The sequence below is a fragment of the Homo sapiens genome, chromosome 14 (assembly GCF_000001405.40).
Source record: "Homo sapiens chromosome 14, GRCh38.p14 Primary Assembly".
Classification (NCBI taxonomy): domain Eukaryota; kingdom Metazoa; phylum Chordata; class Mammalia; order Primates; family Hominidae; genus Homo; species Homo sapiens.
The window spans coordinates 32,135,400-32,162,224 of NC_000014.9; the positions used below are offsets into that span (position 1 = coordinate 32,135,400).

General features: G+C 35.6%; 1 protein-coding gene across 2 annotated transcripts in view; it reads left to right on the top strand.

Annotated features, from left to right (window-relative positions):
* Positions 1–24,329, top strand: part of ARHGAP5 (Rho GTPase activating protein 5) — an 82,425-nt gene extending 58,096 nt beyond the window's left edge. For both annotated transcript variants that reach the window (NM_001030055.2, NM_001173.3), the window contains exons 4-7: positions 10,864–10,941; positions 14,503–14,634; positions 17,024–17,129; positions 19,222–24,329. In NM_001030055.2, coding sequence (NP_001025226.1) covers positions 10,864–10,941; positions 14,503–14,634; positions 17,024–17,129; positions 19,222–19,549 — 644 coding nt within the window. In that variant the 3' untranslated portion in view covers positions 19,550–24,329. The remainder of the gene's footprint in view (positions 1–10,863; positions 10,942–14,502; positions 14,635–17,023; positions 17,130–19,221) is intronic.
* Positions 24,330–26,825: the final 2,496 nt, after the last annotated feature.

A 26,825-nucleotide genomic window follows, 5' to 3' on the forward strand; every position in this document is an offset into this window, starting at 1 on the left:
GATCCTAGAATTTTAGGTCTAAGTTGTTTTTTTGTTTGTTTGAGGTGGAGTCTCCCTCTGTTGCCCAGGCAAGAGCACAGTGGCGTGATCTAGCCTCACTGCAACCTCTACCTCCCAGGTTCAAGCAGTTCTCCTGCCTCAGCCTCCTGAGTAGCTGGGTTTACGGGCACATGCCACCACACCCAGCTAATTTTTGTATTTTTAGTAGAGACAGGGTTTCACCATGTTGGCCAGGCTGGTCTCAAACTCCTGGCCTCAGATGATCCACCCACCTTGGCCTCCCAAAGTGATGTGATTACAGGTGCAAGCCACCACTCCTGGCCGATTTTTAGGTCTAAGTTTTAACCACATGCTAAGCCTAACCACATATCTTTGAATTCTAATTCCAAATTTCCAGAAGAGATACTCTGATGAGTCCAGTATAGTGAGCATAGTGCCTAGTTAATTTTTAATTTTACATTACCAAATGATCAAATAATTATTTAATTTTTTGATAACTGATGAATGTAGGATATGTTTTACTGTGTTAAAATGCATATTGCATTGTGCAGTTTTCTTGAAATAATGATTTTTACCATTTACTCATGGACCTCCTTTTGTAGTTTTTATACTTAATCAAACATAAGAATGTACTTTTAATTCAGTGGGAGCTAGGTTCAATAAGTTTATATACTACTACTAGTTCTTGTTTTGTTTTTTTCTTCCCAGCATGGGCTTTTAGAATTTTTTTGAGGTAAAATTTATATAACATAAGGTTAACCATTTTAAAGTATATAATTCAGAGGCATTTAGTATATTCACAATGTTGTGCAACCATCACCTCTGGTTGCAAAATATTTTAATTGCTCCAAAAGGAGATCCTGTGCCCATTAAAGTCATTCCTCAGTTCACTCCTCTCACAGCCCTTGCAACCAATCTGCTTTCTCTTTAAGTTGCCCATTCTGGGAATTTCATGTTCTGAAATCACAAAATGTGACCTTTTGTGTATGGCTCTTTCATTTAGCATATTATTTAGACTTATCCTCATTATAGCATGTATCAGTACATTATTTCTTTTTATGATTTATAAATTCCATTATATAGCTATATCACATTTAGCCGTTTATTCATTGACAAGTATTTGGATTGTTTTCATTCTTTTGGCTATTGTGAATAGTGCTGCTGTGAATGTTTGTGTAAGTATTTGTTTTAGTACCTGTTTTGAATTCTTGAGGGTGTATGCCTAGGAGTGGAATTGCTGGATCATACGGTAATTCTATGTTTAACTTAGTAGAGAAGCACCACATTATTTTCTACAGCAGCTACACTATTTTACATTCTTATCAGCAGTGTACAGGTGTTTCATTTTCTCCACATCCTCACCAACACTTGCTGTTTTCCATTTTTAAATTATATGAAGTAATACCTCATTGTGATTTTGATTTCCATTTCCCGTTGACTAATGATGTTGAGCATCTTTTCATGTGTGTCTTGGCCATTTGTGTACCTTCTTTGGAGAAATTTTTTTTTTTAAGTCTTTGGCCTTTTTAAATTGGGTTATCTTTTGTTAAGTTGTTAAGTTGATTCCTAGTACTGGACTTTTATCAGGTAAGTGATTTGCAAGTATTTTCTCCCATTCTGTAGGTTGTCTTTCTTGATAATATCTTTTAATATATAAAAGTTTTAAATGTTAATGAAATCCAATTTATTTTTAAATAAATTGGATGTATATTGTTGCTCATGCTGTTGGTATCATAAATAAGAATTTATTGGCAAAATCAAGGTCATGAAGATTTATCACTTTTTCCTTTATCCCTAGGTTTTATAGGGTTTGCTCTTACATTTAGGTCTTTAATATATTTTTGTATCTAGTATGAGGTAGAGATCTAAATTCGTTCTTAAGCATGTGGATATTCGCCTGTCTCTGCACTATTTATTGCGAAGAGTATCCTTTTCTCATTAAATGGTCTTGACACCCTTGTTGAAAATCAGTTGGCCATAGATACATGGGTTTATTTCTGTGCTCTCAGTTCTATTCCATTGATCTGTATATTATACTTTTGCTAGTACCACACTGTTTTGGTTACTGTAATTTTGTAGTAAGTTTTGAAATCAGAAAGCATAGAGTTCTTCGGTTTTTTCTTCTTTTTCAAGATTCCTTTAGCTACAGAGTTTCCTGCAATTGAATGTGAATTTGAGGATTTTCCTTTCCATTTCTGCAAAAACAGCCAATTAGGTTTTGATAAAAATTGCATTGAATCTGTAGATCAATTTGGGTAGAAGTTGCCATTTTAAAAATATTTAGCCTTCCGGGCCAGGTGGGGTGGCTCACGCCTGTAATCCCAGCACTCTGGGAGGCTGAGGTGGGCAGATACCTGAGGTCAGGAGTTCGAGACCAGCCTGGCCAACATGATGAAACCCCGTCTCTACTAAAAATACAAAAATTAGCCAGACGTGGTGGCAGGCGCCTGTAATCCCAGCTACTCAGGAGGCTGAGGCAGGAGAGTCCCTTGAACCCAGGATGGGGAGGTTGCAGTGAGCCAAGATCATGCCATTGCACTCCAGCCTGGGGACAAGAGTGAGGCTTCGTCTCAAAAAAAAAAAAAAAAAAAATTTCACCTTCCAATCCACAAACACAGGATATCTTTTATTTAGATCTTGATCTTTAGTTTCTGTCAACACTATTTTGTCATTTTCATTGTACAAGTGTTGTACCTTCTTGGTCAAATTTATTCCTAGGTATTTTATTCTTTAGGATGCTGTTGTAAATAGAATTTTTTTCTTGATTTCATCTTCAGATTGCTCATTGCTGGAGTATAAAAATACAACTAACTTTTATGTGTTGATCTTGTAACCTGCAACTTTGCTGAATTTTGTATTAACTTCTACTAGTTTTTATTTGTTTGTGGTTTGTTTTGTTTTTAGAGGCAGAGTCTCACTCTGTTGCCCAGGCTGGAGTGCAGCAGTGCAATCTCTGCTCACTGCAACCTCCACTCCTGGGTTCAAGCAATTCTCTTGCCTCAGCTTCCCGAGTAGCTGGGATTACAGGTGGGTGCCACTGCACCTGGCTAGTTTTTATATTTTTAGTAGCGATGGGGTTTCACCATGTTGCCCAGACTGGTCTCAGACTCCTGAGCTCAGGTGATCTGCCCGCCTCAGCCTCCCAAAGTGCTGGGATTACAGGCGTGAGCCACTGCGCCTGGCCAACTCTTACTAGTATTTTTTGTGGATTCTTTAGGATTTTCTGCATGTAAGTCATGTCATCTGTAAATAGGGATAATTTTACTTCATTTTTTTCCATCTTGGATATTATTTATTTATTTTTCCTTGCCTAAAACTCCAGTGTAATGTTAAACGGAAGTGGCAAAAACAGACATACTCGTTTTGTTCTTGATCTTAGGGGAAAACTGATTCTTTCACCATATTTCATCACAGCTAATAAGTATATAGCTCTGGATTTTTCATAAATGTCCTTGATCGTGTTGAAGAAGATAACCTTCTATTCCTAGCTTAAGTGACTTTATCATGAAAGGGTGATGAATTTTGTCAGATGCTTTTTCTACATCAATTGAGATGATCATATGGTTCCCCCCACCCCCTGCTGATTTATTCTATTAATGTGGCCCATCAGACTAATTGTTTTCCATATTTCATACTACCCTTGCTTTTTTTGGATAAATCCTACTTGGTCATGATGTATAATCTTAATATTCTATTCTTAATATTCAATTAATATTGATTTGGTTTGGTAGTATTTTGTTGAAGATTTTAAAAATCTGTATATGTAAGGGATATTGGCCTATAGTTTTCACTTTGTATTTTTAATCTGGCTATGGGGCATTAGGGTAATCACAGCTTCATAGGAAGTGTTTCTCTTTGTTTTTTAGAAGAGTTTGAGATCAATTATTGTTAATACTTTTTTAAGGGTTTGGCATAATTCATCAGTGAAAATATCTTGTATTGGGCTTTTTTGTTTTTGTGAGCTTTTGATTACTAGATCAAGCTCATTTGTTTATAGAGCTGTTGAGATTTTCTGTTTCTTCTTGAATCAGTTTTGGTAGTTGGTATATTTCTAAAAAAGTTTATTTCATTTAACTTACCTAATTTGATGGCGTACAATTGTTCATAGTATTCTCTTGTAACCCTTTTTATCTGTATATTTCATTAGTGATGTGTCTACTTTCATTTCTGATTTTAGTAATTGGAGTCTTCTCTTTTTTTTCCTTGGTAAATCTAGCTAAAGGTTTGTCAATTTAATCTTTTCAGAGAACCAACTTTTGGTTTTGTTTGATTCTCCCTATTGTTTTTCTACTTTCTATTTTATCTCTATATTAATTTTTATTATTTCTTTCATTCTGCTAGCTTTAGGTTTAGCTTTGTCTTCTTTTTCTAGTTCCTTAAAGTTGGAATCTTTTTAAATCAAGGTTTTTACAGATGCAGGTTTCCGTCTGAAAATCTTTTGGCTGCATCCCATAGGTTTTTGTATATTGTTCTTTTTGTTCATGTCAAAGTATTTTCTTTTTTTTTTTCTAAAAGAAAAATAAAAAGAAAACATTTATTTAAAACCACTATATGCCAGACATTGCTAACAATAGGATAATACCATATGTGATTAAAAATAATTTTGCCAATATAATTTCCTGCCAGATCTTTTTTTCTTTTGTATATTCCACTTCCTTTTCTCTCTCTTTTTTTTTTTTTTTTTTAGGTTATTTGTTCTTTTTTTTTTTTTTTTCCTTTTTTTTTTTTTTTATTATACTTTAAGTTTTAGGGTACATCTGCACATTGTGCAGGTTAGTTACATATGTATACATGTGCCATGCTGGTGCACTGCACCCACTAAATCGTCATCTAGAAGTGTTTTCTAATTTTATTTGTAATTTCTTCTTTGTTCCATTGGCTGTTGAAGAATGTGTTGTTTGGCCGAGCACAGTGGCCCACGCCTGTGATCCCAGCACTTTGGGAGGCCGAGGCAGGTGGATCACGAGGTCAGGAGATCAAGACCATCCTGGCTAACACGGTGAAACCCCGTCTCGACTAAAAATACAAAAAAAAAAAATTAGCCAGGTGTGTTGGCGGGCGCATGCTGTAGTCCTAACTACTCTGGAGGCTGAGGCAGGAGAACGGTGTGAACCCAGGAGGCGGAGCTTGCAGTGAGCAGAGATCATACCACTGCACTCCAGCCTGGGCGACAGAGTGAGACTCTGTCTCAAAAAAAGAAAAAAGAATGTTGTTTAATTTTCACATATTTATTAATTTTTCTTTTGTTACTTATATCTGTTTTTATTCCCTTGTGATCAGAGAACATACTCTCTATTATTTCATGCCTTTAAAATTTATTTAAACTTGTTTTGTGGCCTAACATACGGTGTTTCCTCCAGAATGTTACATGTGCATTTAAAGAGAATGTATATTGTGCTGTTGTTAGATAGAGTGTTCTGTGTGTTTGTTTGGTCTAGTCGGTTTTTAGTGTTCAAAGTCTCTGTTTTCCTTGGTGATCTGTCTAGTTCTGTTCATTATTATAGTGGACTACTATCGTCTCCAACTTTTATAGTTGAATTGTTTATTTCTCCCTTCAATTCTGTCAGTTTTTGCCTTATGTATTTTGGACTCTTGTTAGGTGCATTTATGTTTATAATTATATCTTACTGATGGAGTCTCCCTGTTACTGATGTATAATGTCCTTCTATGCTCTTGTAACAGTTTTTGTCTTAAAGTCTATTTTTTCTGATACTAGGATAGCTACTCCCACTGTCTTATTAATTACTATTTATATGGAATGTACTTTTCTATCCTTTTACGTTCAACATATTGTGTCTTTGGTACTGTAGTGATTGTCTTATAGACTGTGTATAGTTGGATGCTGTTTTTCTCTTTTATCCATTCTACTAATCTCTGTCTTAATAGGAGATTTCAAATTATTTTCTTAGTCATTACCCTGCAGATTACAATTAACATATTTATAATAGTCATGTTTTAATTGAAAGCACCTTAGTTTCAAAAGTGTACAAAAACCGCTCCTTTACAGCTTCATTTCCCATCTTTGTTATTGTCAGAAATTACATCTTTATACATTTTATGCCCATTAACATAGACTTGTAATTATTGTTTTATGTACTTCTAAAATCATACCAGGACAAAAAGGAGTTATAAATCAAAAATGAAATACTGCTGGCTTATATGCTTGCCTATCTAGCTGCCATAACCTTCGTTATTTATTTTTTTGTATGGCTTCAAGTTACTGTCTAGTGCCCTTTCATTTCAGCTTAGAGAACTTCCTTAACTCTCTTTACCATATCTTGTAGGACATGTATACTAGTGACAATCTCTCTCAACTTTCGTTTATCTAAGAGTATCTTAGTTTCTCCTTCATTTTTGAAACATAGTTTTACCAGACACAGAATTTTTGGTTTGCAGGGTTTTTTTTCTCTTTAAACACTTTAAATATATCATTCTACTGTCTTCTAACCTCCATGGTTTCTGAAGATCGAATAGGCTGTTAATGTTATTGAATATACCTTATATGTGACAGTTGCTTCTTTCTTGTTTTTTCATTCATTCCTCTTTTCTCTTCAGACTGGATAATCTCAACCAGTCTTTAAAAATTCACTGATTACTCCTTCTGACTGCTCATGTCTGCTGTTAACCTCTCAACCTCTCTGGTGAAGTTTTCTTTTCATTTATTGTACTTTTCAATTGCAGAATTTCTTTTTAGCGTCTTTTTATAATTTCTGTGTATGTATTGATATTCAGTTCGTTGAGTCATCATTCTCCTGGTTTCCTTTAGTTCTTTGTTCATGGTTTCCTTTAGATCTTTGTGATTTTTTAAAAGAACTTTTGATTTAAAGTCTTTGTCTAGTAAATGCAATGGACATTTTCTCTAAATTTCTTTTTTTCCTGTAATAAACTCTACTTTCTTGTTTCTTTGTATGCCTCTTTTGTTGAAAATAAAGACATTTAAAAGATTATAATATGGCAGCTCTGGAAATGAAATTCTTTCCCCTCACCAGGGTTTGCTTTTGCTGTGTGTTGTTTATGTTGTTTGCTTGTTTAGAGACTTCTGTAAACTATTTTTGTGAAGTCTGTATTCTTTGCCATTTGCTGCCACTGAAGTCTGTTCTATTCACTTTGCGGTGATTTGTTAGTTTCTTTAAATATCTGGAGCCAAGGGAAAAACAACACTTTCCAAGTCTTGTGGGTGAAACAAAGGCAAGCCCTTGTGCCTTCCCTTCAGAGAGCCAAAAGACAGGTTGAAATCCATGACCACAGTTCTTTCAGAATAAGGTTGGTATTGCTCTCTGGCACTTGTGTAACCCACACCCACAGTGCAGGCTACTGTCCTCATGATTGTCACTAATCTGGGGTATTAGGGGATGGGAGGTAATTTAAAGCTTTCTTCACCAAGATGATTACTGGTTGTTGTAATTTTTTAATAGATTACAGAGTTCTGCAAACGTTGATTCTGACCCTTCTGGCAGCTCATTAGTCGCTTTTGTTGGGGGACTGAGTCCTGGAATTCTCTTATCCACCACTTTTGGTGACATCACTCCCCATGGACACATTTATCAAATTTATGGATTATTTATACACCTTGCATCTCTGTTACCCTTTGTAATCTATTTTATGACTTAAATAATTATGTCACCCTGAAGGTGTAGGGGAACAGGCAGTGAAACCCTGGTTTTTTATCTGTTAGCAACTCAAATAAAACTTAGGCCATTCTAAAACTTCAGATATCAGTAATACTCTGGGTTACTTAAGGGTTAGTGACCTTTTCTAATGAAAGGGAAAAAAGGTACTCAATTAAAAGGCAACATTATTTTAGTTGTTGTTGTTGTTGTTGTTGTTGTTGTTGTTGTTGTTATTATTATTATTATTATTTGAGACGGAGACTTGCTCTTTCGCCCAGGCTGGAGTGCAGTGGTGTGATCTCGGCTCACTGCAACCTCCGCCTCCCAGGTTCAAGCAATTCTTCTGCCTCAGCTTCCAAAGTAGCTGGGACTACAGGTGCCCACCACCACGCCTGGCTAATTTTTTTTGTATTTTTAGTAGAGACAGGGTTTCACCCTCTTAGCCAGGATGGTCTCAATCTCCTGACCTCGTGATCCGCCCGCTTTGGCCTCCCAAAGTGCTGGGATTACAGGCATGAGCCACCGTGCCCAGCCAAAAGGCAACATTATTTTACATTACTAAAATTTTATATTTAGCTTGGGAATGTTGGGATAGGTTTCTAATCCCTTTATTGCTTGGAGGTCCAGGATGGATACTTTGGGTGATTTAAGGCCATATAAAACTTGGATAATTCACAGCTGGATAATTTAGTCTGTTTTTGTTTTTTGAAATCACTGTTAATAGTGAGTAAAGGGCAAGATTTTAGTGTGGATAGTTAAGGGCCTTATAATCTCCATTTAACAAATAATAATAAATGTTTATCACTGTGGAAGGGGTTTCCCAACCTTAGCATTATTGACATTTGAGGCTATTTAATTCTTTGTTGTTAGAGGCTGTCCTTTGCATTCTAGGATGTTTAACAGCATTCCTGGCCACTGCCTGTTAGATAGCCTTCCTACAATTTTGACAACCAAAAATATCTCTAGGCATTACCAAGTGTTCCTTGAGGTGCATTATGCCCCCAGCTGAGAACCACTGCACTGTGTGAAGAACCCTGGGGATGGAAAGTTCCTGCTATGACTTTTACTGAGTAGTAATAGAGCTATAGATAAAGTACTACAGGAGTGCAAAGGAAGAAAAAATTGCGTCTAATTGGAGATAGCAGGGAACGTGTCAATGAGGAAGAAATGTTTCAACTGGGATATATAGATATACATGGAGTAATAAGAATTCTGTAAAAGAATACATTCACAAAGTCAGGATAAATGTTATCTAGAGAACAATGAAGTATAGTTATTTTGAGGTAAGATTACAGGTGTGAGCTACCATGCCTGGCTTTAAATTGGGTAATTTTTATTGATTTATCTTCAAGTTCAGTTATTATTATTATTATTATTTTGGTCATCTTTATCTTGCTATTGAGCCCACTTGGTGAGTTGTTTCTGTCACTGTATTTCTTCGTTATAAAATTTCTATTCATTTATTTATATTTATATTTATTTATTTATTTTTGAGAAGGAGTCTCGCTCTGTCGCCGAGGCTGGAGTGCAGTGGTGTGATCTTGGCTCACTGCAACCTCTGCCTCCTGGGTTCAAGTGATTCTCCTGCCTTAGCCTCCCAAGTAACTGAGATTACAAGCGCCCACCACCATGCCTAGCTAATATTTGTATTTTTAGTAGAGGTGGGTTTTCAACATGTTGGCCAGGCTTGTCTCAAACTCCTGACCTCAAGTGATCCACCCACCTCAGCTTCCCAAAGTGCTGGGATTACAGGCGGGAGCCATCACTCCTGGCCTAAAATTTCCATTTAGTTATTCCTTATATATTCTGTTTCTTTGCTGAAACTTCCTATTTTTCAAGTTTCAAGTGTGTTTGTAATTGCACATTGTATAATAACTGCTTTAAAGTCCTGTTCAATAATTCCATAACTGCCACCATTGTGTTGGTATCTGTTAAATGTCATTTATCATTCAAGTTGACATTTTTCTTGGTTTTTGATATGGGGGACTTTTGTTTTATTATTGTATCTCATAGACACTTTGGATATCGTATTCAGAGACTTTGGAATATTACTCAAATCTATTTAAGCAGGCCTCCTCTGACGTTGCACCAGCAGGGGAGGAGGGCTGCAAGGTGGGAGTGGAAGTTCAGACTCCTGTTGGCTTCCATTGGCTTTCACTGATAATATAGCATGGTGGGGTAGGTAGGGCATCTCTTACCTAGGATTGGTGGTGGAAGTTTAGGCTCTCGACTCAGCCTCTGCTGACACTCCAGAAAGGGTAAAGAACTCCTTGTTACTGATTGGCAGCAGTAGAAGTCTAGGCTTCCCAGTTGGCCTCCACTGACAAGAGTGAGGAGGGACTCCATGCTCTGTGGCTTGAGTAGGGCAATTATAGTCAAAAAGGTTTTGTTTTGCTAGGCTGTACCTCTTCTAATCCTTTCACTAGGGAAAGCAGACTTCTTGTTGCTGTTGTTGGGTTTTATCTTTTTGTTTTTGTTAGTTTTGGGTATGGTGGTGGTGGTGTTTTTGCCTTATTAGTATTTCTGGGTTGCAGGCCTCTCCAACGCCCAGTCATGATATGAGCCTCTGCCTGCCCCCTCAAAAATCAGGGAACTTACTGTCATGTCGTTCTTCAAGTTTCTAAGTCATTAGCCGGTTTGCCTTCTTCTCTCCACCATTCACAGACTACTTATGTTTGGTTTTTTTACATGTTAGATTCAGGGTTTTTAGCTGTATTTAGTGGGAGAGTAGGGAGAAATAAGTCTATTCATTTTGTCAGGAGCTGAATGTCCTAAATGGTTTAAAATAGAAAACAGTCCACTAAGAACTTACTTTTTTAAAATGCTCAAAAAATATTTTATTCTTACAAATATTTTACCACTATAAATTTGTAACGAAATTGTACATAAGATTAAGTACATTTATTGTTATAGATGTATATTGGTTTTTTGTTTGGTTGGTTGGGGTTTTTTTTTGGAGACAGGGTCTTGCTCTGTTGCCTTGACCTCCCAGGCTCAGGTGGGGAGCCTGAGCCTCAGCCTCCTGAGTAGCTGGGGCTACAGGTGCATGCCACCATGCCCAGCTAAGTTTTTCTTTATTATTTGTAGAGACAGAGTCTCCCTGTGTTGCCCAGGCTGGGCTCAAACTCCTGGGCCAAGCAGTTCTCCCACCTTGGCCTCCCAGAGTGCTGGGATTACAAACATGAGCCACTGTGCCCAGCCGTGTGGATATATATGTGTTTATTAAAGTATGCATATTTCTTTATTCTCTTAGGGTTATGTACCGAAGGACTCTACCGTGTCAGCGGGAATAAAACTGACCAAGACAATATTCAAAAGCAGTTTGATCAAGGTAAGAAGATGATTATGTGAAATAAAAATTGTTGTTTTATGTTTTCCTTGTTAGAATTCATGGTGAGAAGATTGATTTTCATTTGAAAACTTCCTAAGGATATGGATGTTGAGGAGAGAGGGTTTCAAAGTGAGATTAGAAGCACTAAGTAAAATAGATACCACAGTAAAGGTACAAAACAGCTAGGGAAAGCCTGTTTTCTTTACATTAGCAAGGAAGTCACTGATTACTTTTAGAGCCTTTGAATTAAGGGGACTTGGTACTAGGGATTTATAAGAGGAAATAGATGATAAGAAACTTCTAAAATACAATTGCAATAGAAGAAAAGATTGAAAACGAGGCAGTTGAGTCAAGAAAATACAATATTGTATAAATTTTTAATGTAAGTATGAAGACAGAAGAGGATTTGGTAAATAAGAAAGGAGGTACTGGAAAAGCAGGCATTCAGTATTGAAGCAAAGTCCATCAGGCCTGGAAGGAATGGAAAGCAGTAGAATAAATTTTGTTTTTGAAATAACAAGAAACTATCTCTTACACTAAGACTGAAGGGAATACTGTACAATATTTTGATATCAGATTAGATATTTTATGGAGCATATACTCCGAGTTTCTTCCCAAATTTCGTATTCCTAATACATTAAACTATCTCACAAATAAAAGACTGTGACTGAACCTGTATAAATCCATCACCAGATTTAGAAAAGCAGTAATTTGACTTATGATTGATCGGCATCTTAGCCATTAGGAGTAAAAAAAGCCGAATTTTCTACTCATATTCAGTAAATTCTATATGCGATTAAAGATTTAAACGTAAAAAATGAAAACCATAAGTACTAGGGAGAAAAATGAGTGAATATTTTTATAGTCTTAGAGTAAAGAAAAGCCTAAACTTGATATGAAACCTAGAAAGCATGAACCCAAGTTGATAGACTGGACTATGTACATGCTAAAATTTTACAAAAATGTAAAAATTCTGTATGACATGTGGCTAAAACAGGGTGTGACATACCTAGCTTAAGTAATTCACATCAGAAGAGAGCAACCAATAAATACATGAAAATATGCTTAGCCTCTATTAATGATAAAAATTAAAGGATTATATTTATTTGTTTTATTTGAATGAAAAGAATTGTTAGAGCGTAAGTAAACATGTATCTTGTACGCTGTTGGTTGTAGGTGCCTTTTGAGAGGCAGTTTGTGAATATCAGGATTCAGATAGCTTTGCTAGAGAAATTCCACTTCTAGGAATGTGTTACAGAAGTCTTTGCATAAGCATGCCAAGATATACTTACAAGGCTCTTCCTTGCAGTATTGTAAGTTTTTTTTAAAAGGGGTGTTGGGGGGTACCACTCAGGTCTAATAAGTAGAATGAATACCAAGAAGCCATGTAAAATAAAGATTTTATGCCTGTTGAAGTGGCAAAACATCAGTTATTGAGTGGCGTGTGTGTGTGTGACTGTGTGTATACAAAAACACACCTTGTTGCCAAAGAGTATCGTATAGTCTAGTATCCCATTTTTAAAAAATATTGGCCAGTCACAGTGGCTCACCCCTGTAATCCTAGCACTTTGGGAGGCCAAGGTGGGCGAATTGCCTGAGCTCAGGAGTTCTAGCCCAGCCTGGGCAACACAGTGAAACCCCATCTGTACTAAAATGCAAAAAATTAGCCAGACATGGTGGTACACATCTGTAATCCCAGCTACTTGGGAGGCTGAGGCGAGAGCATCACTTGAACCCAGGAGGGGGAGGTTGCAGTGAGCTGAGATTGTACCACTGCACTCCAGCCTGGGTGACAGAGCGAGACTGCATCTCAAAAAAAAGAAATCTATCTATCTATCTATCTATCTATCTATCTATCTATCTATCTATCTATGTATATCTATCTATAGTGTTTAAAAAACTGTTTAGACAATGGTATTAAATTGGTAGAATTTCACTTCCAGTAATGAATGCATGGTTATAGTTAATACCAAGGCTCTTGAGTTTGACTTTCTTGTTTTGTTTTCTCGTCCTGCCACCACTGCCACTATTTTTGTGCCTCTGGCAAGTTAATCTTTCTAAATCTCAATTTCTTCATGTCTAGTATGGGAGTGATGAGAGTAACTATAAGGATGATGGGATAATGCATATGAAGAGTTTTCTCTCCGAGCACCATATTAAATGTTCATTGGGTAGCTATTACTACAAAGAATGTAGCCTAAGGAAATAAGCTTGTATGTATTAAAGCATAGCATCATATCATTTTCATATTATTGTAATATATTTAAATGAAATCTAAATGTTCAGTAATAGAATATTATGTAAATTGTATAATCTAAGGAAATATTTCACAGCCATTAAAATTGTTTATGTAGGGCAAAATGTTAACAATTGATTTGGCAATTTTTTTAATGAGCAGAGAAAGGCTGAAAGGAAACATGCTAAACTGTAAACAATGCTTCTCTCTAGGTGATGGGGAAATTTTTTTTCTTTTTGCTGGCCTATTTTTTATATTAAAGTGATTTACTGATAGCAAATTAACCTTATGATACACCTTTAGTATGTTCCATTCTTGATTTTTTTAGTCGGAACTTCACCAACTACTTAAATTTAAACCATTTTACATAAAATTTTGAACTGTAAGCTTAAAAGGTCCAAATTAGAATTTATACAAATTGAGTACCCCTTATTCAAAATTCTTGGGGCCCAGAAGTATTTTGGATTTCAGATTTTTTTCAAATTTTGGAGTATGTGGATTTTACTTAGCAGTTATCCCAGATACGAAATGTTCCAGTGAACAAGTTTCAGATCAACCTGTATGCATATTTATTTTTTCTTTCTAGTTACTTATGGCCTCTTTTTTTTTTTTCCTCCTCCAAAGAAACAGGGTCTCACTATGTTGCCCAGGCTGGACTTAAACTCCTGGGCTCAAGTGATCCTCTCACCTTAGTTTCCTGAGTAGCTGGGACTACAGGTACGCACCACCTCACCTGCCTCTTGTGGCCTCTTTTAAATAGCTGTATAAACAAAAAAAAAAGATAGATATTAGTAAAGTTCCTCAATATACTAATAAGCCTAACAGCATTTTTTTATTATAACAGAAAAGGCTTATTGCTTGGTTGTCTTTTCCCTGATCTGTGTAGTTTGTAAGCCTGAAAAGAAAAGTGGGGCCAGGCGCCGTGGCTCATGCCTGTAATTTCAGCACTTTGGGAGGCTGAGGCAGGTGGATCACCTGAGGGTCAGGAGTTCGAGACCAGCCTGGCCAACATGGTGAAACCCCATGTCTACTAAAAATACAAAAAATTAGCCGGGCGTGGTGACGGTCGCCTGTAATCCCAGCTACTCGGGAGGCTGAGGCAGGAGAATTGCTTTGAACCCGGGAGGTGGAGGTTGCAATGAGGTGAGATTGTGCCACTGTATTCCAGCTGGGGCAACAAAAGTAAAACTCAGTCTCAAAAAAAAAAAGAAAAAGAAAAGTGGCCCAAGACTTAAAGTTATCTTTTGATCTAAAAGTAACCATTTAGCTTGCTTCTATAATAAAGTTTTATTATATAATTTAAAATGTTAATTTTTGTCTTGTAGATCATAATATCAATCTAGTGTCAATGGAAGTAACAGTAAATGCTGTAGCTGGAGCCCTTAAAGCTTTCTTTGCAGATCTGCCAGATCCTTTAATTCCATATTCTCTTCATCCAGAACTATTGGAAGCAGCAAGTAAGTATAAACCTCCTTTTTATGAGAGGGATGATAATGGCAGTTTTTGGATATTGATTGCTAAGTGTTAAAATCATCATGTACTAGAATATGTAGCTAATAAAAATTAACTTAACTAGAACTCTATTTCTTAAAGGCATTTTCCTCTAAATTAAAATCAGAATCCCTGGAGATGGCCTCCAGGAATATTCTGTTTTAGCTAGCCCCCTAGGTGACTTAAATGCTCCTAGAAATTAGAAGATCATTGTACTAGAAGTTTGAGGTTTGTGTTTTTAATTCAAACTTAAGGGCATTGTAAGAAAATTAAATAAATTCTTCAAATTGTAAGTCAAAGAAATTTACTTTGGCTTTGTCTTACCTGTTTTATGTTGCTGTAACAGAATACTACAGACTGCATAATTTATAAAGTAATTTATTTCTTACAGTTCTAGAGGCTGGTAAGTTCAGGGTCAAGGAGGCCTCATCAGGTGAGGGCCTTTTTGCAAAGTCATTCCATGACCGAAGGTGGAAGGGCAAGAGAGCACACTCAGAGAGTAAGAGACAAGAAGGGGGCTGAACTTACTCTTTTATCAGGAACTCATTCCCAAAATAGCTAACTCACTTCAGAGATAACAGCGTTAATCTGTTCATGAGGACAAAACCCTCATGATATAGTCACCTCTTAAAGATTCCACCTCTCAACACTGTTGCCTTGGGGATTAAGTTTCCCACACAAGAACTTTGGGGGAAACATTCAAACCATAGCAGACCATGTGTTGTAAGTCATTTTGGGAAAGAACATGATATTTATTTAGTATTTATTCCTACTTTGGCATCTTTCATTCAGATGTTTCCACTAAACAGATATTCATTTATCTGGAAAATGAGAACTAAAGTCTGTTTGGGCATCAGTTTCATCCACATGATTTCTCAGTGACAAAAAATTAGCACAGTTGCTAAATACTTCTCTCTACTATTTCCTTTTGGTTGCAAGTCTTCAGGTTATTTTAGATGAGACTACTTCGTATTGTTCTAAGTTCTCAGTGATTCTTTTTTTTAATTCTGTATATTGTCACAAGGTATAGTTGCCTTATATATACGTACTCTCAGGTAAAGTGGGAAAATGGCTTAATTGATAGCTTAGATGTTCTTATCTATTGACCATTAATAGGAACCTCAGAACATTCCTACTTAGGAAATTTTTGAGGACTGATTTAGAAGTAATGTGTAACAAATGAAATGTTGTTAGTAATTGGTTATGCTACCATAATGATGTGGTGTGCACACTGGTCTCCAAAATAAGGAAGAGGTGGAAAGCACCCTCTATCTCATTTATTTCAGGGCCACATTTTAGTTACTCTGTTTCATAATTGCATAGATTTGGAGAGTAAGTTAAATACTTAAACTGCCTGTAAAGGAAAATCTTTGATAAGCAAAATGGATTACAAGTAATTGTAGTATAGGCGAATCTATAGCCCGAGGGCCATATTTAGGCTATCGCCAGTTTTTGGCAGACTTTTAAGCTGAGAGTCGTTTTTACACCAAGAGAAAAGAAAATTTCATGACACATTAAAATTACATGAAATTCAAATTTCAGAAGTTTTATTGGAGTATAGCCACTCCCGTTTGTTACATGTTGTCTGTTACTGCTTTTGTGCTACAACACAGGGTTGAGTAAGTGTGCCCACAAAGCCTAAAATAGTTACTCTGTAGCATAAATGTTAAGAGCCTAACATATTTATAAGTAATTAGTTAATTATAAATCAGTATCTAGTTACGTAAATTGCTAACGTACCATTTCCCATTTTGTCAATGCTGGGTCACTTTGGTCTTCAGTGATTAGCTTTCCTTATAAAAAGGCTATAGTAATAAATGATGACATTAATAGAAATAGATAATGTTAGTTGAAGTGATTTCTTAATTTACATAATTTAGCAGGTTCTTTTGAACAGGGCTCTCCAACCCCTAGGCCACACAGCCTGGCTTGTTAGGAACCAGGCTGCACAGCAGAAGGTGAGGAGTTGGATAAGGGAAACCGGGCTCCACCTTCTGTCAGATTAGGTGCGGCATTAGATTCTCCTAGGAGTGGGAACCCTATTGTGAACCACGCATGCAGGGGATCTAGGTTGTGCACGTCTTATGAGAATCTAATGATAAATGTAATGCACTTGAATCATCCTGAAACCATCCCCCCACCCATCTGTGGAAAAACTGTCTTCCACAAAACTGGTCCCTGGTGCCAAAAAGGCTGGGGACTGTTGCTTTAGAACATTTTCTTTGATTTTGTTTACCTATCCTAATATGCTTTAAACACATTCTTGACTGTTATAGTAAATATAGCAGGAAGCTTTATCAAATATTTTTAAATGTGTAAGTTTTACACAGATTCTTCACTGTTTTAATTTTACAGAAATCCCGGATAAAACAGAACGTCTTCATGCCTTGAAAGAAATTGTTAAGAAATTTCATCCTGTAAACTATGATGTATTCAGATACGTGATAACACATCTAAACAGGTATTTTTATTTTTTTAGGGTTTTTTGGCAAATAAAATGCACTACACATTTCAAACATGTAAATTTTATAAATTGGATAATTATCAGATAGAAAAGGGGACTCAGACTAAACATATAGTTGAATTTTGTTTTTCTAATTTATATCTAAAAAGATATATGATTAGTTTTGTAATGTAATTATTATATAAATAGTAAGTGTGGTAAGTATATTTTCCTTTTTACCACATTCTCTGTAAAATCTTAGAATTTTAGATATGAAATGACACTCAGATAACTAACCAGATTGACCTATTTGGAGTTGGAACAGGGTTTGGTTTGAAAAATTACTAGTTCTGTGACCTTGGGTAAATGACTTATTCTTCCTAAGTCTTGATTGTCTCAACTATAAACATGAAAATAACAACACTTCACAAAGTTGTTCTGAGGACTGAATGGAACTATTTTAGTATATGTACTAATTTTTTGAAAAGTCTCCTCATAATATTTTCTACTGGCATTTTAATGAACTGTATGGTTTTTTTTGTTTTTTTTTTTTTTTAAACTAATAGTATCAACACCCAAACCAAGTACATTTCAGCTGGTACCTCCTAAAAGAGGATTCACCAATGTTTAAAGCTTACTTTTTACTAGCAATGTGGTATAAAATTGTATTAACATTTCTTATAACCTTTCCCTGAGAAAATACCATGGAAACATGGTGAAACCCCATCTCCACTAAAAATACAAAAATTAACTGGGCGTGGTGTGAGCATCTGTAATCCTAGCTACTCAGGAGGCTTGGGGCGGGAGAATTGCTTGAGCCCGGGAGGCGGAGGTTGCAATGAGCTGAGATCATGCCATTGCACTTCAGTCTGGCCAACAGAGCAAGACTCTGTCTCAAAAAAAAAAAAAAAAAAAAAAAAAAAAAAAAAAAAAAAAGATTGTTTTATGGAATGCTAGCAGCCAGGTTTTTTTTTTTTTTTTGAGATGGAGTCTTGCTCTGTCGCCAGGCTGGAGTTCAGTGGCATGATCTCAGCTCACTGCAACCTCCGCCTCCTGGGTTCAAGCAGTTCTCTTGCCTCAGCCTCCCGAGTAGCTGGGATTACAGATGTACACCACCACACCCAGCTAAATTTAGTATTTTTAGTAGAGACAGGGTTTCATCATGTTGGCCAAGATAGTCTTGATCTCTTGACCTTGTGATCCGCCTACCTCGGCCTCCCAAAGAGCTGGGGTTACAGGCGTGATCTACCGCACCTGCTGCAACCAGGTTTTCTGAAAGTTAAAAATTCTCAGCCAGATGCGGTGGCTCAACACTTTGGGGAGCTGGAGGCCAGGAGTTTGAGACCAGTCTGAGCAACATAGTGAGACTTGATTCTCAAAAAAAAAAAGGAAGAAAGGAGAGAGAAAGAAAGAGAGAGGAAAAAAAAAGAGAGGAACAGAGGAAGGAAGGGAAAATTAGCCTGATATTAGTGTCAAACACCTATGGTAGTAATTTTTCCAAAGCTAGTTGAGAGAGCATACTCTGGTTTTTCATCTCTCACAGTAGTCAAAGAAGTTACATATACAATTAGAATTTGTTGTTTCTGTTGCCAGAAACTCAATACAATTTGTCACATCAGGAAAGGTTTTTTGTTGTTATTGTTGTTGTTTTTGAGACGGAATTTCACTTCACTCTTGTTGCCCAGGCTGGAGTGCAATGGCGCGATCTCGGCTCACCACAACCCCCACCTCCCAGGTTCAAGCGATTCTCCTGCCTCAGCCTCCCAAGTAGCTGGAATTACAGGCTTTGTCACTACGCCTGGCTAATTTTGTATTTTTAGTAGAGATGGGGTTTCTCCATGTTGGTCCTGCTGGTGTCGAACTCCCAACCTCAGGTGATCCGCCTGCCTCAGCCTCCCAAAGTGCTGCGATTACAGGCGTGAGCCACTGCACCTGGCCCAGGAAAAGTTTTTTACATACGAATTAAAGATGCTTCTTTATGCAAATTTTTAAACCCCAGGTTTGAAGTAGGATAAAAGGTAACATTAAATCTGAGATCATTTCTAGCTCTGGAATTCTGTGATTGTAATGAGTTTTGATTTCTAAATGTTTTTTCCTTTCATAATTTCAGGGTTAGTCAGCAACATAAAATCAACCTAATGACAGCAGACAACTTATCCATCTGTTTTTGGCCAACCTTGATGAGACCTGATTTTGAAAATCGAGAGTTTCTGTCTACTACTAAGATTCATCAATCTGTTGTTGAAACATTCATTCAGCAGTGTCAGTTTTTCTTTTACAATGGAGAAATTGTAGAAACGACAAACATTGTGGCTCCTCCACCACCTTCAAACCCAGGACAGTTGGTGGAACCAATGGTGCCACTTCAGTTGCCGCCACCATTGCAACCTCAGCTGATACAACCACAATTACAAACGGATCCTCTTGGTATTATATGAGTAGGAAGTGATTGCAAACAGGCTGGATTTGGACAAAAAGCAAATCTAGACATGCATGTTTCAGGGTTCAGTAGTATACTTCATGTTTCATACAGATAATTCACATTCAAAATTACATTTTCTCTTTGAACTAGATGGTATTCCTTATTCACTTACATTACAAATCTAAGACCATGTGATAAGCATGACTGGAGAGGTTTAATTTTTATAAACAAAAATAGCTATAAAGTACAAAGCTGCTGCTGCATGCAACCTTATTGCAATCAGTATATCATTCCTGTGGCAATTTCTGTCACCTTATATTGTGAATAAAATTTTTCTATAGAAATTAAATGATTTAAAAACTCACCTATATGAAACATTTAATGCTTTTCAGCCTGCTTTCTGGCTGATTTTGTTATTTGATGTGCTAATTTGGGCAACTTAATTTACATTCTGGCAGTCGGTGTAGATAACTAAAAGCCCAGTTAAGTATTTTATAATTTCAGGCTACTGAGGCCATGCTTGGGATGTTGTTTGAAAGAAAGAAAAAATACACTTGACATATTTCACATTTCTGTACCTTCATCTTTACTTCCAAGTAAACCCGTGGATGATTTGATGAGGGATAAATGAACCTATTTCTTTTACACACATACCAAGGACATGCTTGTGGCTAAAGTGAGTTGATAATGTTGTGCAAAGGATAGTTGTCACCAACTCATTTCTTTATGGTCCATAATGAAATAAAAATTTTGTATACTGTTAATTCTGTAAACAGATGCATGTTCAAAAGATCTATGATGGTCTTGTAATCTTAATCTAATATATTTTAGATATTTTAATTTTTTCCCTCTTGGGGAACACATTTAGTATAGTGTAGAAAATACTTCCATGACATTTTCATATAAGGTTATATAACTTTTCATACATAAACATGAAATTTGTTGTAGAAAATTCTTTAAACCAAACATTTAAATCTAGGACTTCAATTTAATTTGTTCCTTGAATCTATTTTTATGTGGCCCTTAAAAAATATCCAAAAAACCCATTGCTAATATAGCAATAAAAATACTTTGGGTACTGACAGACTCTTTGGAGTGTTTATATTACAAATTTGTATTCATATTCTTTTCTGTGATGTGTTGTACTAAAATCCAAAATGGCTTTTGCACCATTTTTAAGCCAATTTTTTCCTTTGATGTTGGTACCAGAATTACTATAAGTGACTGCTGCTTTTGGGGGTAAACATTTTGTTAGTGAAGATAAAACCAGAACACTAAATTATGGATAAAATTTTCAGAATAGGTGGCACAGGTAAATTTCACTAGGTTATATTTTGTGTAGTAAAGAAAAAAATTATTTGGTCAATGTTATCTTAATTCATACTACAATTTAAGATTATCTTATGTGTATTATAGTAAATAGATGATTTTCAGATTCAAGGCTCCTAAGAGTTTGATTTGCTCTGTTTTTTCCTAAAATAAATATTGTCTCTCCCAACTGTTAAGTTCTAGGTATTGTACTTCCAATTTTAACTTCAGAACCAAGATGTTGGCATGAACCAGGCTGCTGTTGAAGTACATGTATATTATAAATTATCTTATTTGTGTTATACTCTTACATGTTATCTTTTCTAAGAAAACAAAGTCCCTATTATTCCTATTGCAAAGCACACAGGAATTAAGAAAGTACAGTAATTTTTAAAAAAAAATCCGGTAAATGTAGTATTCTTAACCTGTTCTATATTACTTATACCTATTGTCTATATAGCTTTAATTTATAGTTGTCAGTTTAACTATTGGCATGTCTGGCAAAGAAAATTAAACTTTAAGAGTTTTATAAACTGTTTCTAGGTTGCTAAAGAATTTATTTTTCTACTATATATGGTATAGACAAAGCATCAAACTATGTACAGGAAAAAAGCCTGACTATTTCTATTTGGAAGTAGGCTGAAAAGAGAATTTTCAAAACTGTTCGTGTCTTCAGTTCATTCTGTCATAACTTTGCTATTGTAATATGTGAATACCAGTTTATTTAAGCTGTTCTCTTTTATACTGTATTAATTTAATGTTCATCTGCGTTTAGTACCATTTTTGTTATTAAAACTGGCATTTACCGTTTTTCACATTAACCCACCTTGCACCTTCCCCCAAACTTATCTCCACTTTTCTATGCATTCTATCATTGATTTGACACACTTCATAGTGAGTCATTTAAATACTCTACGTTTGGTTCAATTAACCAGTAGGTTACAGTTATTGAAAATTAAAGTACAGTTTAAAGCTCAGTCTGTTACACTGAATTGATTGTGTTTGTTTTTGCCAAGGGTTTAGATATGCTTTTAAATATTAGAAACATCTAAGAACAGAATAACATAATTAAACTTTTTTCTGGTAAGTTACTGGAAGGTTTCACTGTTTAGGGACCTATCATATGAGACTTCTTAAAGGATTAAAAGAATAGGATAGTCTCATAATTGTGAGTAAACATCAAGGCATTATATTTTACAATACTGAATAAAATTTCATCTACACACATGTTGCCATTGTTTCATTTAAGGTTCAGTGCTTATAGTTAACTACAATATTGGACCTAACAGGATCTAGATTAGCAATATAAAGAAGCATAGTGGTACTCTGTTTCACACTTTCAGTAGATTTATTAGAAGTCAAATTCTATTCAACAGACACTTATTAGGATATACAACTAATTTAAGAATAAAATTCCAGGCACAATATATTTTTTTTAAATGGTATTTGTTAGTAGTGCTTCTTCCCCTTAACATTTACAGTGTAAATACTGCAGGTAACCGCAATCTAAGTTAGCCAAAAAGCAGCTTTTTTTCCCATACTGTATGTAAATAATGTAGACCTGGGTTTTTTTGTTTATTTGGGTTTGTTTTTTTTTTTGAGGTACTGGAATCTAATTAATATCTCTTAGGTATCAACAAAAGGGAACAATTGGAATGAGAATTTAGGCCTTAGCTTCCATGGTGATTTTTAGTTTTTTATACAGTAATAATTGTGATGCTATTTGTCAACTGGATATAAATACACATATAATTTTAAAAAGTCAAAAGTGCTTTTGTTTCTTTGTTTAATGTAATTTTTGTGCTTCACCTACAGGATGCTGCAGTAAATTAAATATCAGTGAAGCTTCTGATGTATAAAGAATGCTATGAATAAAACATTAAGAAGCTGTGTAATTTTAAGTTATAGTTGCCTCTATTTTTACCATTTCATTGGTAAAAATTAGCTAATTTTTTTCAAGTGAAATGAAAAATAAAAATATAAATTTATCAATATGATGGAAATCTTATTAAGGAGATGTATTATTGAATTTTCACTGTACCTGAAAAGGAGATTCAAAATTTTTTCTGGGGATGTATATAGGTGAAAATTTGATTTTTTAAATTATCAGGAAAACAAGATAATGCACAGATTTCTAAGACTAAGATCTTACCTGGATGTGATTTTTGAGCTGTGGCTAGACATTCTTTAGAGCCACTGGAAATATTTTGAAAACTATTCTAGTTATAGCAGAGCTGCTAATATTAACGAATATATTTGTGTCTTCATGGTTTGTGACTATTAGGCCAAATTTTGTGGTATATGTTGTCAGTCTGGATCTGGTGAGGTCTGTTCAACATGAATCTTTGTGTTATCTTGAATTTAGTAGTTTCAAGGTACTTAAATTCTTAACAGTTTCTAATTTGTTTCAATACATATGGGACATGGTTGATTTTTTTACTGTATTAGAACTCTTGGAAGTTCTTAGCCTTTTCAGGTTATGAAATACCTGAAAGTAAAATTTTCTAAGATTTAATAAGGGAAGATACTATTCAAATCATTTTCTTAGGATAGCATCTTTACATACAATGAGAGGATTGTACAAGCATTAATCTCATATTCCAACATCCAGTTACTTGATGTGATCCAAGTACCCTGGTCTTTTTGAAGCAGTTAAAATCTAATTAATTAACTTTGGGAGTCTTCACTATTCAATTGATCCTCATCATTGTCCTATTTGCATGACTCCATTTTTTCCTCCACTATATGAGTTTTCTTTGTCAGGGGGAGAGGAGTGGGAAGAGTCACAGAATCTCATATTCACATCTTAATTAAATTGTGTGAAATTAGTCTTTTGTGGAAATTCTGTAGGCAGTATGATTTTGAAAAGCTAACCAATGATAATTAGCATTTTAGTTAATACTAAATGCATAAAATTATAACCCTTGAAATTAATTTGGTGCTGGCAGTTCTGGTTTAGTCATTTTTACCAGTAGTTAGTAGTATTAAGACCTGCAGTATATGCACTTTTTGAGTAGCTGTCAAATAATTGTAGTTGAGAAACAACTTGTTTATTCTCACAATTCAGATTTTCTATTCAGTTTTGTCTCAAATAGTAAGTTATTGTGAACAATTTAATAACGGCCCTCCTGTTCTAGTTTGCCTAATATTTTAGTTAAGATTTAGTGTTTTAACCTATTTTTTTAAGTTTATTTTTTGTATTAGATTTTATTTGAATAAGTTATGTGGGTTTAGTAATTGACCTATTTATTCATTGCTTCACTAATTCATCCAGATTAGTTTTAAGTGTGTATATGTATTTGCTCACCAGATCATTTTCTTGGGACCTTGAACTGTGAATGTTTTGTCCTAACCATTTAATATTTTCTAGGTACTTGCTGCAAGTTCTTGAACTATTTTACCAGCTTTAACTTTGGGGCTCTTAGTTTCTTTTCTCCAGATTCTTGTTATTTTATTTTATCCAAATAAATATTTAGGTGTTCTAAGAAGTAGACTTCTGTTTAATTCCGTAAAATAAGTAAAATCAGAAGCTGTACACACTATCATACTGTTATTATTTGGGATTGTTTATAAATGTAGGTGAAAGGATAAAAAATACCTATCTGAGAGAATACAGTCTTTAGATATCCTTCTTGGAAATTTGACTTAGAGATTTTTCATTTGTTGGCAGTCACAGGCATAGCTGCTGAATGTCTTTTGGTCTGTAATATTTGAAGTGAGAAACATTACCAGCAATGTACTTTTAAAATATAAACTAAAGCCAGGCATGATGGCTCATGCCTGTAATCCCAGCACTTTGGGAGGCTGAGGCAGGGACATCACTTGAGGTCAGGAGTTCGAGACCAGTCTGCCAATATGGCAAAACCACATCTACTAAAAATACGAAAGTTAGCCTGGCATGGTAGTAGGCGCCTGTAGCCCCAGCTACTCAGGAGGCTGAGGCATGAGAATTGCTTGAACCTTGGGGGGGCGGAGGTTGCAGTGAACCACAATCAAGCCACTGCATTCCAGCCTGGGAGACAAAGGGAGACCCTGCTCTAAAAATGTAAATAACAAACTAAAATGTTATATCTAGTACTTTAATTAAAAAATGACTGTTGTGTACCTTAGAATCCATTTAGATTATTTTTATGGAGTTAGCAAACTTTTTGGGGAAAGGACAGATAGTGTCTTTGGCTTTGCAGGCCATATGATCTCTGTGGCACTTCTCTGCTATAGTGCACAAATAGCCATAATGCAGAAATGAAAGGAATATAACTGTGTTCCAATAAAATTGTGTCTGTAAAAAACTAGCAGCAGACCAGATTTGACCCACAGATATTGGCTGGTCCCTGGCATAGATTGTTAATAAAATTATCTCCTCCAACTTTATGTGGAATATTTTATGATAGATAATTCAAAATAATATCGGTTGGAGTAAAATTTTACACAGGATAATTACCCTCTGTTCCTGTTGCCATTGTTTCCAAAGGAAATTCTCTATTTTCATTTACTTAGTAATAAGTAAATAAGGAGAGCTATGTGAAACGGTTATTTTAAAAGCTCTTAGTAACAAAAACTATCTGGAAGGTAGGACTGGTGATACAGTTGTACACATCAGAACTGATTTGTTTTCAACAGCCTTATTAAGGATAACACAAGATTTTTCAGGGCAGTAATTACATCTCCACATTCTGTACATTAATCATGACCACACAACATTTCAATAAATTGTGGCATAGATTAATGAAGTTATTAACACTTAACAAAATCATGTCCATAATCGATCTAAAAGTATGTGATGATTATTTAATTGGTGGTCTCTCCAAGGTGTAGGCATCACTAACCAGTCTGCTTAGGTGCCTTTGGAGAATGCATATAGAAGGGAAACTATATGTGTACCGATTGTTGGCAGGCCTTTATTCAGAGGATAAATTTGACTGAAGGTCAGAGAATTCATAATGTAGAGAAACATAAATGGAGTAATTGTGGGAAGTTCTTCCAAGTAACACCTCAATCAATGTCAGCAAACATCCCGGAGAGAAATTTTATAATGGTCCCGACTTCGACTGGTTTGACTCAAGATTTTTCAACTTTACAGTGGTGCGAAAACCATACACATTCAGCGCACTCCTTGACTTACAATTGGTTTATCAGAACTTGGTCCCATTGTAAAGCAAGGAATATATATGTGTTAAATATTGCGGTGGGAAAGGTCAACAGAAGATTACGTATCTCTGCCATAATGCTCAGGCTGGAAAGACCTATGAATGTATTGAAAGGGCCTTCACCTATAAATTGGTCTGACTGCATATCAGAGCATTCACTCTGGCCAGAAGTCACAACTCAGTGTACACCATAATGTCATACTGAAGGGAGACTTATCACATACTGAGTGTGGAAAAGCTGTCAGCCACAAACTAAACTTGCTTATTGAATGGTAGCCAGCCTCCATGATGGCCCCCAATGATCCTAGCTCATGGTTAACTTCTTGCATAGTCCCCTAACTTCAGTGTACCAAAATTGGTCTGTGTGACCTGAAGCATTTTTTGTGAATACTCAAATGGAATTTAAAAGAAGCCAAATTTGTTTATACATTTTTTTAACCACAGCTTCCAGATATTTACAGCTGTCTCATACCACCTTTACTTGGAGAAAGCCAAATTCCCATATAGTTAGAATATAAGTGACTTAACAGCAACAAGAAGGAAGTTCCACTTATAGTAATGTAAGATGATTTGGACCAACCATCCAACTGAGGGCATCTAGACAAAATGGAGAAAATTGTTTAAAAAAAAAAATCAATTTGAAGGCCATTAGAAAGCCAGTAAGCACAAAATTACAACCAGAAGTTGGGAGAGAAAATAACACCCAAGTAGGTGAGCCTGTTTTGGGGGCCACTTTCTCCTTGAGTTTTTTGGCAAATTCTGGAGGAGGTATCCAAGAGGATGACAATATATCTGATGGTGTCCTACAGGCATAGGTGAACAGAAATTGGAATTAAA